The sequence below is a fragment of the Homo sapiens genome, chromosome 3 (genome assembly GCF_000001405.40).
Source record: "Homo sapiens chromosome 3, GRCh38.p14 Primary Assembly".
Lineage (NCBI taxonomy): Eukaryota > Metazoa > Chordata > Mammalia > Primates > Hominidae > Homo > Homo sapiens.
In genome coordinates this window covers 116013158-116029789 of record NC_000003.12, presented here as the reverse complement: position 1 = coordinate 116029789, position 16632 = coordinate 116013158, and the positions used below count along the sequence as shown (strand labels likewise).

Sequence of the window (16632 nt, the reverse complement as noted above, 5' to 3'; positions counted from 1 at the left end):
ACATCTCGGAGGACTACATAACTGAAGCTTCAAGCACTAACTTTTAGTTACTTGTGCAGTTCAGAAACTGCTCCTGTCTGATGAAAAGAGGATTAAAGGGAGATGACTTTTTCTTGACCATACATTGTCTTAATATGTCATTTTTATTAGCTTCCAGCTCCAGTTTCCCTGAGTTTACTACATTAACACACACGGTACCTAGCATTGCTTTGTTTTGTGCATACATTTTATCTTTTCTTCTAAATAGTTAGCATATTATCTCTCTTACCTTGAGTTATTTGGATCATCACTTAATGCATGCATGAATGTAGCATTAGTAATCACTCCTGGCAGAGAAATTTGAGTAACTGATACTTATAATGAGTTTTTTCTACCCTCAGCTTCACCTGACACTCAAAGAAGCTATAGTTTCTGTATTTTTTCTACTTTCCCATGAAATTTGTGTCTAAATGAAATCATGTTCCAGTAAAATGTGATTCAAATGCCGACCCCACAGGCTGATGTTTCTTGCTTTGCAAATGGATCCTAATAGAAGTGGGAACTAGTGCTAGTGGAAAAGATATTCTCACTGCCAGTTGTATTCTACTACAAGGTCTAAGGCTTCAGAGACTCCAATGACAGCCACAAATCACCTGGCAATATCTGTTGTTTACAAGGACAACAAATTAAAGAAGACCAATTTTTTATGGAGACATGACAAAGTATGTAAAATTGTGACAATTTTATTTTGGCAGCTTTTTCTTGGAAAAAGGAGTCAGCTAAGTTTCTAAAAAATTTGGTGAAAATTATTTCACTCATGGTATATATTCTTGCATTTTTGTGTCACTTTTTATTGGAGATATAAAGTGTCTAGACATCTATTAAATGGCTCAACATACTGGCATAGCTCTCCATAATAGTAGATAAAAGCTCAATACATATCTTTGGGGTAATTTATTGTTAATGCCACAATTAATGATTAATTATAAATTATAGCAATTATCTACACCTTTTGGCAATCATGGAGTCTGCAAAAATATAACTAGAATGCCATTAGCCACAGAAATGCATAGGCTATTTTACCATGTTATCCTAGGAGGGCTCAAGCCAACACTTCTTTATTAGCTAGTTTTAGTATGTAATAAATAATAGGTACATTTGTCAGACCTCTTATTGCTTTGTAGATAGACCAAGTTCAAATGCATTATCTTATTTGACCCTAATGTCAATCCCATAATATCGCCTAATGCCAACCTTGTACCTCCAATTGCTAGGTGAGGAAACTAAAGCATTTAAATAATTTGTTATAGTTTGGTCATTTATTCACTCAAAATTGGTTAAGCACCTACAAAGTGCCTGATGACGGAGATTCAAAAGCAAATGTCAGAGAATATTCTGCTGCACTGTGAGCTAGTGGCTGGGCAGGATCACAAATCCCCTGGCTCTCAATCTAGTACACTGTGCTACATTTCCCAGTCCTGTCATCCATCCTGGAAACTCCCACACCATGCAGCAAAACATGCTTTAGTGGCATTTTCAGAAACAAAATGCCAGGTTAGATGGATGTTTGATGTTTCACTAGATGGCATTTATGTGTTGCATTGTGTATTTTTATTCTCATTGTTGAATCCTGGGAGTATGCTTATTAAATACAGCAAGTGCTGCTCAAGAAACATTGTGTAGATTTTTGAACCCAGTTCTTACATAGACACACCATATTCTTTCATAGCCTGTGACATATGCAAATAAACAGGGCTTAAGCTTTTCCTGCTGTACCAAAGAAAAGTTAAAAATTAGGGAGTTGGTGGTGTTTCTTTAAGACCCCACCATCACCACATACACAGTAGTGTATACACCTTGCCCCATCTTTGAATGAACAATAACTAATGAGACTAATTTGTTGCTAATTTGTACCATTAGAAATGGCACTTTGAATTGAGTACAAATAATAACCGCTAATTATTTGAGGTTAGGGAAATGAGCCAACTGACCACTTTTCTCTCCTACTCTGGAACTGATTAGTTTCCCTCTGATGGTTGTTCAGTTAGGAACCAAGTATAAAGGCATTAAAACATTCACAGCTGGAATTAAATGGCTTTGTAGATCTAAGGTTGTTTTAAAGCAACCAAACTGACAGATACAAAACCAATGCTTAACGTGCAACAAAGCTAGCATGTGGAAGCCAAAGGAGTATCTAGGCAGAGATGACAACAGTTTACCTCTGTGGAAAGTCCCCTCTTCAAATTTTCCCCTTATTATGGCTAATCCTTACTTTGCAAAAATTAGGATTCTTTGATTTAAGCAATAGAAATTGACTGGCTAGTCTGATGTATAAAGCAGGTGGTCCATTGGAAGAATATGAAATAACACAGAATTGAAGGAAAACAGAAAAACTTTACTTCAGCAAGTACACAAGCCCCGTATCTCTGGATATCCAAATAATAACCTCAAATAATTAGTGGCAAAAACTAGTGAAGAATAATAGTCCTTTTAGGTGGTTACTCTTTCATGACGTGTACTAACCATTGCTGCTGAACAAATCACTTCAAAATCAGGAGCATAAAATAATAGTTATTCTTTATTTTGCACAAGTGGGGAAGTCAGCTGATTTAGGCTGAATTTCTTGAGGTGACTCTTCTCCCAGGGTTTCCAGATTTGACAAGTAAAAATAAAGGATGCCCAGTTAAATTTGGATTTGGGATAAACAACAAATAATTTTTCTTATAAATGTGTCTCATGCAATATTTGGAACACATTTATACTAAAAAAGCATTTGTTGTTTGTCAAAAATTTATATTTAACTAGGTACACTATTTTATCTGACAATTCTGTCTGGCATCTCCCATCCTTCTCCTGGGATTAAGAGGCTCAGCTGAGTATGTTCTTCTCGTGGCAATGGCAGAGGCATAAGCACAAGTGAATTCAATGGTGCCAGCACTTTTCAAAACTATGCTTGTGTTCCAGATGCTGACATCCTGTTGGCAAAAGCAAGTAACATGACCCAGGGATGAAAAAGTATGTCACCCTCTGTAGGAGGGCATGGATGTGGCAAAGGATGGGGATAGAGGGAGGAGTACAGATTTGAGGCCATTAACACAGTCTGCCAACAAGAGATTAAGTCAGTTTCATCCTCTTTTGAATCATTCCTCATAGAAACCAAGTTCCAAGGCGGGGATGTTTGAATGGTCCAGCTTAGGTCTTGTACCCACTCCTTGTCCAAGAATTGGTCACTTGATTAAGAGTCCCAACAAACCAATAGCTGTGGGTAAGCAGTGGTTTTTCCAAAGGAAAACCAGGATGTCTTACCAGAAGAAAGAGGCATGGATTCTGGGCAAGTAAATCATATATGTCTATTCCACTTATGTCCCTGACTTTGTCTCCATTTCCACTTTTTGGCATATATAAGAAACGTTAGTCTTACACAAAAAGAAGAAGGGATGATTTGTGAACCTAGAGAACTGTACAAACAACTCTGGACAGTCAACTCTGGGTCCGTAAGAGTCAGGGCAGACCCTGGAGATCTGGTAGAGGGTGGATAAAGGAACTACAAAGACAATAAGGAGGGACAGAAAAACAGGTGGCAGAGCCAGACTGACTGTGTCATGATCTTACTTAAGCCTGCCCCATTGCATAGCTGAGGGAGTCTATATTATTAGGTGCACCTAGATTTTGGCATTATTTCAGAAATCACCATTAAATTTTTACTAAATAGAAAAAAAATATGTAGGCCCAATGCAATGGCTCATGCCTGTAATCTCGGCACTTTGAGAGGTCAGGGTAGAAGAATCGCTTGAGCCCAGGAGTTTGAGGATGCAGTGAACTATGATCACACCAATGCACACAGAAAAACAAAAGAAAGAAATGTGTATTTTTTAATGCAGAATTTATGTGCATTTCAATAAAGAATATTACCCATTTAATAATTCAAATTTTAAAATTAACACATAATAGTGTGGTATTCAAAAAATTAATGATATATTTTAAAAATATTTTGGTTGAATTAGTTAGCATGGTAAGTAAGGTCTATATTTACATGTTTCCCAGAAATACTGGGCTGGCCAGGTTGGTAGCACTTTATAGGGTGATTCTGAAAACCAAAAGAGTATATGCACTTTACATCATTCAACAAATGGTATTGTGGACATTGGCTAAAAAATTATAGGGAGGAAAAAACTCTGATTATTTCTCATACCAGAAATAAATTCCATATGATTCAAAGAATTCAATATAAAAAAAGAAACAATTAAAATAAAAAGAAGAAATTGAGATAAGTATTTAACTGTTCTTATGTTGGAAAAGCATTATTTATGCACAAAAGCAATGGAAGAAATAACAAAAGAGCGATCAATAGATACAACAACAAAGAAGCTTTAAACTTCAGCAAAACAAAAATAATCATAAACAAAAAAGTAAGAGCCAAAGAATAAATTGTAAATATTACTACATGACAACAAAAGGTCAATTCCTTACAATATAAGTAGCTCTCATTAATCAGTAAGAAAAACAAAATAATCCAGACAAATGTAGTTATCACTGAAACTGAATAGATTGAAAACATTGAATAAATGGTTCATGGCATTATATATAGGAAAATATAATAAATCACACTAATATTCTGTAAATAAGAATTGTTAAGGGATTGTCTAGAAAGAAAAGAAAACACTACACAGAGTACTACAATGCTGCAATAATTCAGCATAAATCAATATTACAGTGATTTTGAAAAATAAAAAACTTAACATTTGCTGATTCAAATAAGAGTATTATGTTAAACAGTACTTTCTAGGCAGTCATTTCTCCTGAGAATTAAACTAAAGAAAAAATACCATCTCTACCACTTTTTCAGAAGTGAATATGATCTAGAGGAAGAGTAAAGTTTGTGAAACATACAAATTGTAGGTTTTGGTTCTAGCTGTATTATTCATTAGCTATGTGATATTTACCCATTTTTGTCCCCTTTGCCCACATGTGGGAAATGGTAGTAGTGGTAGTAATAATGATAATGATAATAATAATAATAATACATTTTACTTCCCAGAATTTTTATAAAGATTTTATAGGGTAATAGAATAAAATTTTTGAATTGCCACCTGATGTTATTGGTGATTATCTAAACTTAATTCTATGGAGGGCTATGGGAAACTAGGAAAGAAATACTAAACTATTACACTAAGAAAGACATATCTGTATCTATCTATCTATTTCTCCGTCCTCACAGAAAAAGAAACAAAGACGTTAAAACTCAGAAAAGCCTGTAGTTGAAGAAGTTAGACACCAAGTTCTTCTTGGTTCCTATGTTCCTGAAATATACAGACACTCCTCTGCCTCATGGTTAATATTTTTTATTGAGTCAAATAAGTTGATAGTGAAATAGATGACTAAAGGGGTAGCTAAATAAATATTGATAAGAGCTCTATTTTACTGGTTCAAAATGAAAACTTATTCCTTTCTGACAAAAATTCTGTGAGATACCTTTCTTGAGTGAAGTAAAGAGTTGGGAAAAACTAAGTGAATTTTTTTCAAGCACTTTTTGAGCACCTACTATGTTCTAAGCACCATGCTCTGTAAGATTCAGTGGTTTAGAAAACACTGTGCGTCTTACAGTTTAGTGAAAGGCACAGGTAAGTAACCCAGCTGTCATGATTCAGTGCTGTGAGGGTGAGACACAGGGCATTTCACCCAATATGGCCTCCAGAGTGGGGCATGAGGTGAGAACACAGCACGGCATTTCACCCATTGTGGATCCAGGAGCAGAGTGGGAGGCAGGGTGGGGAATGACAGGAAGGTCTTTCGTAAACAAGTAAGGAGACAAGCTGATGAGCTGAAATTTGAAAGGGGAAAGAGGGTAATTGCATGAAGAGTTGAAAGACTATTTCATGTAGGAAGAAATATAATGTCAAATGCCAGAGTGTGAGGAGAGCACATTTCAGAAGCCAAAATTTGCCTGATCCCACCAGATGATGCAATGCAAATGGAGTAGGAAATGAGGCTGGAGAGATAAGCAGGGCCAATCATGAATGACCTATTAAACCGTATTTAAAAGTTTGGATTTTATCTTGAGGACAATGAGATTAATCAAGAGATATTATATTCATATTTGCAATTTAGGAAAAAAATATCTGATTGTAGTGTGGTGAATGTGTGGCAGTGAGCATGAAGAGAGGAAGGCTAGAGGCAAAGAAACCGTTTTTTTTTTTTTTTTTTTTGAGACGGAGTCTCGCTCTGTCACCCAGGCTGGAGTGCACTGGTGTGATCTGGGCTCACTGCAACCTCCGCCTCCTGGGTTCAAGCCATTCTGCTGCCTCAGCCTCCCGAGTAGCTGGGACTACAGGTTTCCACCACCATGCCCAGCTAATTTTTTTTTTTTTTTTAGTATTTTTAGTAGAGATGGGGTTTCACCGTGTTAGCCAGGATGGTCTCGATCTCCTGACCTTGTGATCCACCTGCCTCGGCCTCCCAAAGTGCTGGGATTACAGGCGTGAGCCACCGTACCTGGCCGAAACCATTTTTAATATTTTCTCATTTCAGTAATTTAGGCCATCCCAGAAAGAAATGTTGATGTCTGAAACAAGGTTAGTGGGAGTAGGGACTGGGAGTAAAGAATGAATCTGATATGTGTGTATATATATATAGAGAGAGAGAGACACACACACATATGTATATATACACATATATATGTATATATACATCACGCTTATATAAAATTGATCCTCCATACATGACATAAACCACAGAACATGACATAAACCACAGAACATGACATAAACAACAGAACATGAGGATCAATTTTTTATGAGTGTGGTCAAGGGGAGAGAGCAGTCAAGGGAGATGCTTTGCTTTTTTTGCTTAGACAATTCTGCCTGATGATACTGTTAACTAAGATAATAAAACACAAGTGTTTGGTGGGAATGAAGGTAATGACTTTAGTCCTGAGTTTGTTGAAACTTGGGTGTCTGTGAGGCAAACAATAGGGATACAGAATAGTCCATTGGAATGTAGGTATAACAATCATGAAAAATATCTGGGCTGCAGATGTTGATTGCTTTAGCTTCTGAAGCTAGAAAATAGGTAAGATCCTTCGATGAATGTATAGATTGAGATGAAGACAGAGGTAAGTGATCAAACTCTTAAATACAGATAGTTAAGGAAAGGACAAGATAAGCTTAAGAGTGAATCTGAGAAGGCTGACTACAAGGATAAGAGGAAAAACAGTCAAGTTTGGTGTCCTAGAATCCAAGGGAAATAAAAAATAACAACTGGAAGGAGCATCAACAGAGCCAAATACTTCAGAGAAAAACAAGCTAACAGAAATTGTCCATAGACCTAGAAACAATATGATAATTGGTGAGCTTCCTGACAGTAATTTCATTTGAGGTTAAGGAGAGAATCCAGATTGCACTGAAGGTTGAGGTGTGGATGGGAAATGACGATGTGGTGTAGAACAATTCCCGCAAGAGATTTGGAAAGAGAGATTGAAAGTAAATAAGATGGGAAAAAAATAAAAATAAAAAAGGGACACATGTTCTCAGGATCTCCTGAAAGCTATGTCACAGGAAAAAAGAAAAAAAAAAAAGAAGTTAATAAGAGTTTAGGGAGAAATTTCTTTTGAAAGCAAAAAACACTGCATCATATGTACATGCTTATGGGAGGAAGCTAGTACAAAATAAAGTAGGAAAACAAATGATGGAGTAAGACCCATTGAAAGAGATCCAGAGGCACATGGGATACACTGATACAGCGTGATTACATTCCTAACTATTCAGCACAAACACTTTCTGTATCTCCAGTCTCTGAGACTCAGTACTTGAATAGATTGTCCTTAATTAGGAGATGCAGTGTGGTTTGGTGGCCAGAACATAGCCCTGTAGTCAATTATTCTAGATTTTATTCCCAACTTTATCAGTACCTGTCTATGTGAAATTGAACAAGTGGCTTAACTGGTGTGACATGTAAATGCAAAGTCTTCGCTCTATCTCCTTTTATTTAAAAAAAAAACACCGAGAGAGAGAGATTGTGAGTCAATTGCACCACAGGTAGTAATTCTCTGGGATTTTTTTTTAGTTGTGGATTTTTTTTCTGTTTTATAAATTTGCATGGTTTTATATTAGGGATATAGAGCCTTTTTTATCAGAACATATCTATATTTCTTCTTACCCTGTGTCCTGCGTTGCAATTCACATGTAACTACAACTTTAGTAATGTGGACTCTTAGAATTACTATATAGCTTTCTATGATAGGTTTTGGATTGTTGAGGATGACACCTAGTATGTCCACATTATGTTCTGAAACACTATCATTGATTTATAGTTCATTGCAGTTGTTTTGAAGATGTTCAGAGCACTAGCCTACTCATCTGGGAATTAGTAACTGTGAACTCGAAATAACGGAATAATTGGACATTCAGGAGCTCTGAATTCTAAGTCCAGCCATAGTTCTTGGTGGGCTCATCCTTAACAAGCCATCATTTTTCTCTGTGTCTGATATTCTTCCCTGTAAAATGTATATGATCTTTCAGGTTTTCACTGCAAAAGTCTGTAAGAACATATTGCAAGACAGTGTGTGAATATGAGAAAACGACCCTTAACCCCAATAGCTAAAGGGAGGATTAGGAACTCTGTAAATAGAGATTGCTAAATATTTGGAATCAACTACAGTCTGCTGCCATTGGGTTTGACTGGTAATGACCAGTCCCCTACCCAGAGGCCCTACAAGAGTGGAATGCTGAGGTGGAGAGGGTCCTCATCCTGCTTCCTCCTTGTGACACTCTGAACCAGTCAGTTGCCCAAGTACCATCAGTGTCTCCTAATGAAGATTTGCAGGGATCGTTTGGCTGTCAGGTGCTTGCTTCTGCAAGCAGAAAATGTTCCTGTTTTATTCGTCACTACACAGAGTCTCTAATGGGCAGTAAGAATGAGAAAAGATACAATTCATTATTGAACTCCTTCATGCTCTTTTGTCCTTCTCCTTCCCCCAGACACATACTTTCTCAGGGACAGCTCAAACAAGTGAGTAAAAAAGAAGAAATTCACAGTCAAACTATAAACCCTGCTATTTGTAATCAGTGCATAACCTCTGTGATGAAATTTGTGAGTAATTCACTCCCCACTTAAGCCTACCGACGTGTGATCTAATGTTGCCACCCTGAACACTAATGAAGGAAGTCAGACGGCAGTACAGCTAGCCCTTGAGGACTCATTTCTCACGTCACCAAAAACTAATTTCTGTTGTTTTCAGCCATCTGGTAGCCTGGGTTGTGAAGAGGAAGTTTCATTCAAGTAGTGCTTATGAGCAAAGGCCCTGAATTGGCTGGGATTCAAACTCATTTTCTGCCCCTCACCTAGCCCCCTCTATGCCTCAGTTTCCTACCCATAAATAAAAACTTCATAGGATATCATTTCTTTATTGTAAGAAGTTATTGAAGTAATATTTGTTAAATACTCTATGTTGGGTTTTAGGTATAATAAATGTTTGATTAAAGCTAGCTATTAATTACATTGTTAGTAGTAGTGGTGTTGGAAGTACTAGAAGTAATAGTATTTTTGAATGTCTACCTGTCTGTGAGATAGGCCTTATTAATTCACGTTTTAAGTTCTAAGATACTTCATGCAGCCTGTTATACACAAAGATGATATTTAAATGCTTTCTATTGTGGTGATTAATCCATGTTCATTATGTTGCTAGATTATAAGTAACCAGGTATTGCCACATCTTAATAATACAGTAATGTAATCTTATGCTAAATAGCATTGTTTTTCTTTTGCTGGTACTTGGAGAAGACATTGGATTATATTTATTTATATATACATAAGAAAATAAATTTAAATAACAATGATAATATTAATTTACATAAATGTGCATGCTGTCTAATATCTAAATAAGGTCCATTCTAGTATTTTTAAAAGCTAAGATATTTTCATCATACTACTTTGTGTATTTCCTACAGCACTCAGATGGCTTTGTGAAGGGTGTTCTTACCTTATAGTAGTGCTTTAGGACAACTTATGGATTTGGTAAGCAGATGGCAAGCATGGGTCTTAAAAGCATCCTACTTCTTAACACAGAAATTCAAATTAAGTTATAAAACCTTGAATTTGCCACTTCCAGTTGTATGGCTACAAGCCTAATCTTACTGACATGGTTACATATTCCATTTCCTTTTGTTTTCACAGTCCCACCAAAGATCTCCAATATCTCCTCGGATGTCACTGTGAATGAGGGCAGCAACGTGACTCTGGTCTGCATGGCCAATGGCCGTCCTGAACCTGTTATCACCTGGAGACACCTTACACCAACTGGTAAGCAATACTCCAGGTTCCAATATGCCACATGCTGTTTAAAATATGCTCATGCTCCTGGAATTCTGCTGAATCAGAAATTTCAATTCAATTCAGAATCAGAATTGAAATTCTGTTGAATCAGAAGGTCATGCATCTATCTTGTTATTAAAATACTAACAGAATGGCAACTTTTTTATTTTATTTATTTAGGGTCCTCATGGTCTTTGCTAACGTGTTAATCTCTATAAAGTTTACAATCATTGTACTGAATATATATGTAGATCTGGCTATCATCTATCTATCTGTCTATCTATCTATCAAGAGATCTATCTATCTGTAAAATTTCAGTTTCAATAGAACAGCCCCCCCCCCCCCACCCACAATGCAACAAATACAGAAGCATTAAATGGCTTGATATTATATGTAAAATACATGCCAGTTTGGTGATTCAGTGTCTTGGGGCAATATTTTGTCTGAATTAATTTTACATAGTTGTTTGTATGTTTGTTTGCTTGGCTTTTAACTACAGTTTTCTAACTTGTAGCACCTTGTGAAGAAATCTATCAAGAAAATACAGAATTGTTTCTGACTTTTATTGTCCTGCCCTTGGCATCTGGTTCTGTGCATCAGACATGGACTAAGCTGCATGAACTCATTATGAGTCCCAGCTATTGATACTAATTCAGTCAAAATCAGAAACTCATTTCCCAGGAATGTCTTCAACATCCTTTCTTTCCCCTTCTCACCACCATCGCCATAAAAAGGTTCCCAGGCCTCCTGCTTTTTGAACTTTTTTTAAATGTTTGAGCAAATTATTTAAGATTAGGTACATACATACTCCTCTACTCTACCAATTACATTTTCTGGTATGCAAAACCATGTCTTGTCAAATAACACAGTCTTTATAGAATGTAGCCTTCTATTTAAATCTTCCAGAAAGATAGGCAATAGGTGAATTATTCTTATAAAATATTATTGATTTTGTAGAGAACTCACAAATTTAACTAATTTATATCTTATAGTCACTTAAAATTTCCTCATATAAGTAACTAGAGATTTGTTACAACATATTCATTTTAAAATGAACACCATAAAAATATTATTCAAGACTGGATGTACAACAGGAGCTAAACTGAGACATTTCTAAAAGACCAGGATAGTATTTGTTTATAATGTCTTTAAAACTATCTGTATTGTGTGGTGTGAAAAGATGGGTCCTCTCTTTGATGTTAGATCCTAAATTAATTTCTCAAGTAAAATTTGGACCAACCTATAGAATGGTTTTATATTTAGGCGGGTATTCTTATTAAAGGCCTCTATTTTCTTGAGAAAGTGTCACTCAAAACCCATCCTTATTAACACAGGCAATTTCTCATTTATTGATAATATATACATGAGACACTTATTTGGGAGAGCAATCTTAAACTCATTGACTCGCATACTTATTTTATACCTCATGTGGAAAAAAAATATGTATAAAGGATTGTCTCGAGTATGAACGTAGATATTATATCTTTCCCTTGGAATGAATTAAACCTTCAGAGCACGTTCTACTTGGATGGCATTATGTTGGCTCCAATCCCATGCCACCTACCCCTGTCCCAAGTAGCATTGCTTTTACTGAATAGCAATTTGGTATAGAAGCTATTGGCTCATATTTAAGGATATTATAAAAGACACCTTCTAAAATCATTGTGTTTACTGTAATGTTATAATTGAGAGATTGTTAATTGTTTTACATAGTTTTCCTTTGAAAAGACCATTTGAGGAAATTTGTTTTGTTTTTCAATATCTCTACTTTCTTTTTTCCTAAGCAATCGTTTGCTTTTTAAGAAAGGACCCAGTGAATTTTCATAAGTGATTGTATGTCCTTTATTGTTTGACTGTTAGTAAACTTACAGCCAAATTTATGGACCATCTGTAAAAATATATAAATTATTATACATAAATTACACATTAAAAATTGATTATAAACAAGCTATGTAGAAGTTTATGGGATCAAGTCCATTTCAGATCACACTTCTGCTATCATCTTGTTTTCTTACCATTATTTTTATTTTGTCTCACCTTTTCTAATTAACTTAAATGTCTATGTAAATATACTATTTATAATTTCTTACTCTTACGTGGAACAAGGTGGTAGATAAAAGAAGGGAAATGGGAGTTAGAAAGGAAGAAAGATTCTATTCAAGTTATAATCAAATAATGAACTGCATTAATAGAAAGACACTTTCTTTTGGCACAATACTGACTAGCAAATAGGCTTTTCAAGAAAAATTTGCTATGGCTGAACTGAACTTAAAGATAGATTCCTTTTTATCCCTTGAATTTATAAAACTTCTGATGTGGAACCAGAGTTTCAGAGCCTTTCCCACCTTGTCTAGGAGTTTGGGTAGTCATAACTAACTCTCATAAACTTTCCCATGATAATGAACATGTGACTTGACCCCTTAATAGCTTGTTTTTCTATGATGTTTCAAGTCAACAAAAGACCAGAGGACAAGCCATGTCTTCAAGAATAAAGGCTGTATTTACATAAACTCAGAGGACCCCGGAGGCTTCAATATCAACCAGGAAAATAGATACACTCACAGGGATTCTCAATAGTCAGTAACAGAGGTCAGCAAACCACAGCCTATGTATCAAATTTAGTCTGCTCCATTTATGTACTGCCTGCAAGTGAAGAATAGTTTTTTAATTGTTAAATGGGAAAAAAATCAAAATAATTTTATTTCTTTGACATGCAAAAATATATCTGTATCTATATATATACAATTCAAATTTCAATGTACACACATAAAGTTTTACTGCAACCCAGCCATGCTCATTCATTTACAAATTCTCTATGGTTGCTTTTGTTCTAAAACAGCATCACTGAATAATTGCAATAAAGATCACTTGGCCCACAAATGTAAAATATTTTCTATTAGGCCCTTTACAGGGAAGTTTATAGACTCCTGCTCAAGGCCATAGCTTGGGACATAGGACAAGGATTTGCTGCACTCATCCATGGCCAAGTAGGGCTTTGGGGATATCCCCCACCAAGCTCCTTCAGACATCTCAAAGGAAACAACTTTACTCTTCTACAGTCTTCTATCTAGGCCCACTTTGTAGGTCAGATTCTATTCTGGCACATGCAAAACTAGCTTTCTATTGCGTTTGCAGACTTGAGGGCAGACTACTATTCTCCCTTACATTCCCATGCCTCCTCTTTCATTTCTTTCACATGTGACCTAAATAACCAACTGATCATAATCATATTCCTGGTGACAGGAGAGAGAACTTTCCTTTGCTATTTTATAAAGGAAACTAGGATTTTTGTTTGTTTGTTTTCATGGTTTTTAAAAATTTCTTTCAAAATATGGAAACCGTAGGTGATTCTTTTCAGCCTGTAATGTGAAGTCTTTCTTGGAGATTACAAACAAGCTATGTGGAAGAGACCCAAAGAAGAGACTCTGCTCCCTGTGTGACAGCAAAGCTGCCTGCAACCCGTGGCCATGTGAAAGGAAAAAAAAAAATGGTTAGCTTTGTTCAATTATTAATTGTGTCTTCAACAGTACAGAGTGTGACTGTCTTGCAAAGGAAATATACCTGTAATTAACTCGACCCCACAGGGATATTGAGCCCTGGATAGGGGAAGATTCTACGCAGGGTTCACAATACCTGATTATCTGTCATTTGATGACATGAGGGAAAGAAAAGAAAGAAATATGCATGGTATATTTTTAGGAAGACAATATTTATTACCTCTTAATTTAGTTTAAAAAAAATTGGGTAAGGCCAGTTTGTTTCTTTCTTTTTGCATCTGAAATTTCCTTTTCAAGTATACTGCAAGTGCTTAAGGTAAATTAGAAGAATGGTGAATTTTTCATACATACAAAATAAAAAACACCTGAATTAGATGAAGTTGAAGACATTTATGCATTCTCTGCATGCCTTCTTATATTTCTGATTTCTTAATTTTTCTCCCCTCTTCAGTTATATAGTTCAAAATGATGTGTCACACATGTAGTTATTAAATGTGACCTATTTTCTCCCTTAATTAAGTTAGACTTTCATAATCCTGTGACTCCCAGAGGGCAATTGCACTGTAACGTGTATTTTCTATGGAGTGTTTGATCTTCCTTCTGTGAGCAATGCTGCTCCCATCTTCATTTAACTTCGTTTCTAAGTCTTTCTTCTCACATTCATGAGGAAGTCCCTTTCTCAAATGTGCATCATGTGTTGTCAGGATTGCTCAGGGTCACAGAAAGAGTTTCTATGCGTTTCATTTCTGCAAAGGTTTACACAACCTCCGTAGTTTTCTATCACTGAAAAACTCAAAAGGCACACTGAGGATTTAACCCTTTAGGCTGAGAACAACCCAAGAGATACTGTGTAATTTTCTTTTTCAGCCACAAACCAGATCTCACTTTAAAAATATTTTGCAATTTGATGGAGTGAGTGGGAAAATATTGTGCTTGGAGAAGCTAAGAGGAGTCTGAAGAGCATGAAATCCCATTTTCTCATTGGACATTGGGTTTTAACCACTTGATCTGAGATTCCACTTTCAATTCATTTCCAAGTCTGAACCCTTCACTGATGGTACTTTTTAATTCTATTAATGCTATTACTCTCATCTGTTTTACTTCTAATTGTAACTCACCCAATATGACCAGCCTAGACTCTGACCTCATGGGTTTGAGAGAAATATGTAATGTTAAACTGAACTCATTTATTTAAGTTGCATTATAGAAGTACCTGTTGCAAGTAACATCCGGTCCTTCAAGTTAGCATGTTAGAATTAGTATGATTTCATATTTAACACAAAGAACACATTTTCTACAGTTCAAGTTTCAGGAAATTATTTCTCTGGGGCTTTCTTGTGTGGACCTTCCAGAAGATTCAGTGAGTCAAACTTGGTAGCATATGCATGTGTACTAGTCAAAGGTATGCATTTTGCAGGTAAAGGCTGTTGGCCATGCAGTAACATTCAAAAGAGAATAATGACTCAATTTATTCTATTAATTGCTTTCATTTATCTCTTGCATTTTTTATTTTTCAATATTTTTATTTTTTATTTTAAAAGAGGAGAAAATAGATAAAGAACAATCTTATGTTTTATTTTCAGTGTCTTAGTTATATATTGGTTTTAAAATATGTCATCCATCAATACAGAATTATACTCAGATTAATCTTGACCTCCATCTCACAATTTGTTCATTTGGCAAGAATTATTTACAGTGTTCACTCTGTAAACACACAAGGAAGAGCAAGACAGACATGGTCCTTGCACAAATGAAGCTTATAGTTCAATAAGAAAGCAAAGCATTAAACTAATACACACACCTCTTGACTTAGGATGGGCTTATCCAGATATAACCCCATCCTAAATTGGTGCACATGCTAAATGCATATGACTTTCACACCATCATAAAGTCAAAAAATTGTAAGTCAATCCACCATAAGTCAGGACATCTGTAATTGCATGAATAGCCCCATAATTAGATTCATTATGAGGAAAAATTATGGCATTCAATGAGACCATAAAACAGGGCCATGTAGCAAAATCTGCAAGACCAGCAAAGCTCACCTGAGAAGTATTACGCTGAAACCTCAAGGATGAATAGGACCTAGCCAAGAAAATAGGGGAAGAAAGAGTATCCCAGGTATAGAAAACAATGTATATAATGGCCTAGAATGATAATGCATTTAAGAATCCAGGCAAGCGTCTGTATGTGAGATCATGATGTAGGGGTTTTGTTATGCTACTTTTCTTTGAACGTTTAAATCTCTTTTTTAATCACACTTTTTCTTTTACTTTTTAATATATCCATTTCCTTCTTCCAAAAGCACAAAAATAAATTTTAAAATGTTTGCTATATTTTATTTTCAGTGCCTTACTTGTATATTGATATTATATATGCCAATGTATAAACTACTATATATACTGTAGTAAATAACAGTGTATCTACTGCATTATACACACATACACTCACAGAGAAAGTTATATACTTTCCCAGTATAGTCTCAGTATATCAGTAGCAGGTATATAGACAGCTGTTTGTGTGTATAAAATATCTTAAATTTAGATTTGAAACATATTTTCCCAATACAGATGGCTCCATAATGGCCTAATCAAGTAAATACAAATTCTTTTTTAGTAACTTTATTATTGAAACAAATGGATCATTTAGAAAATGACTACAAAATTTAACCACATGATTACTGGCCTCCACAACCCAAACTTTAAAAATCCTGGAGATGCTCACAGTAACTGACATGGTCAGCCTTTAAGTCATTGAGAAGATCTGCACAACCTAACGTGCTGGCTATTCTTGCAAGTGTTGGACAAATGCCCTAGCATCACCCTACAACCCCACTCCTACCCTACAC

At 35.6% G+C, this 16632-nt stretch overlaps 1 protein-coding gene and 1 long non-coding RNA gene across 7 annotated transcripts in view, besides 1 other annotated feature; one reads left to right on the top strand and one right to left on the bottom strand.

Moving 5' to 3' along the window:
• LOC124906269 (uncharacterized) overlaps positions 1-16632 on the bottom strand; it is a 277601-nt gene that overhangs the window by 38912 nt on the left and 222057 nt on the right. The window lies entirely within an intron of this gene.
• LSAMP (limbic system associated membrane protein) overlaps positions 1-16632 on the top strand; it is a 643114-nt gene that overhangs the window by 415698 nt on the left and 210784 nt on the right. For 5 of the 6 annotated variants that reach the window (NM_002338.5, XM_017006383.3, NM_001318915.2 and 2 more), the window contains one exon: positions 10150-10275. In NM_002338.5, coding sequence (NP_002329.2) covers positions 10150-10275 — 126 coding nt within the window. Of the gene's footprint in view, positions 1-10149; positions 10276-16632 lie in introns of those variants that run through there. The other variant, XM_024453522.2, reaches the window with a different exon arrangement.
• Positions 9136-9335: an enhancer, noted in NCBI's record as "active region_20287". NCBI's record gives its function as "activates an Ori minimal core promoter by ATAC-STARR-seq in GM12878 lymphoblastoid cells {active_cell/tissue: GM12878}" and the evidence as "EXISTENCE:reporter gene assay evidence [ECO:0000049][PMID:35858748]".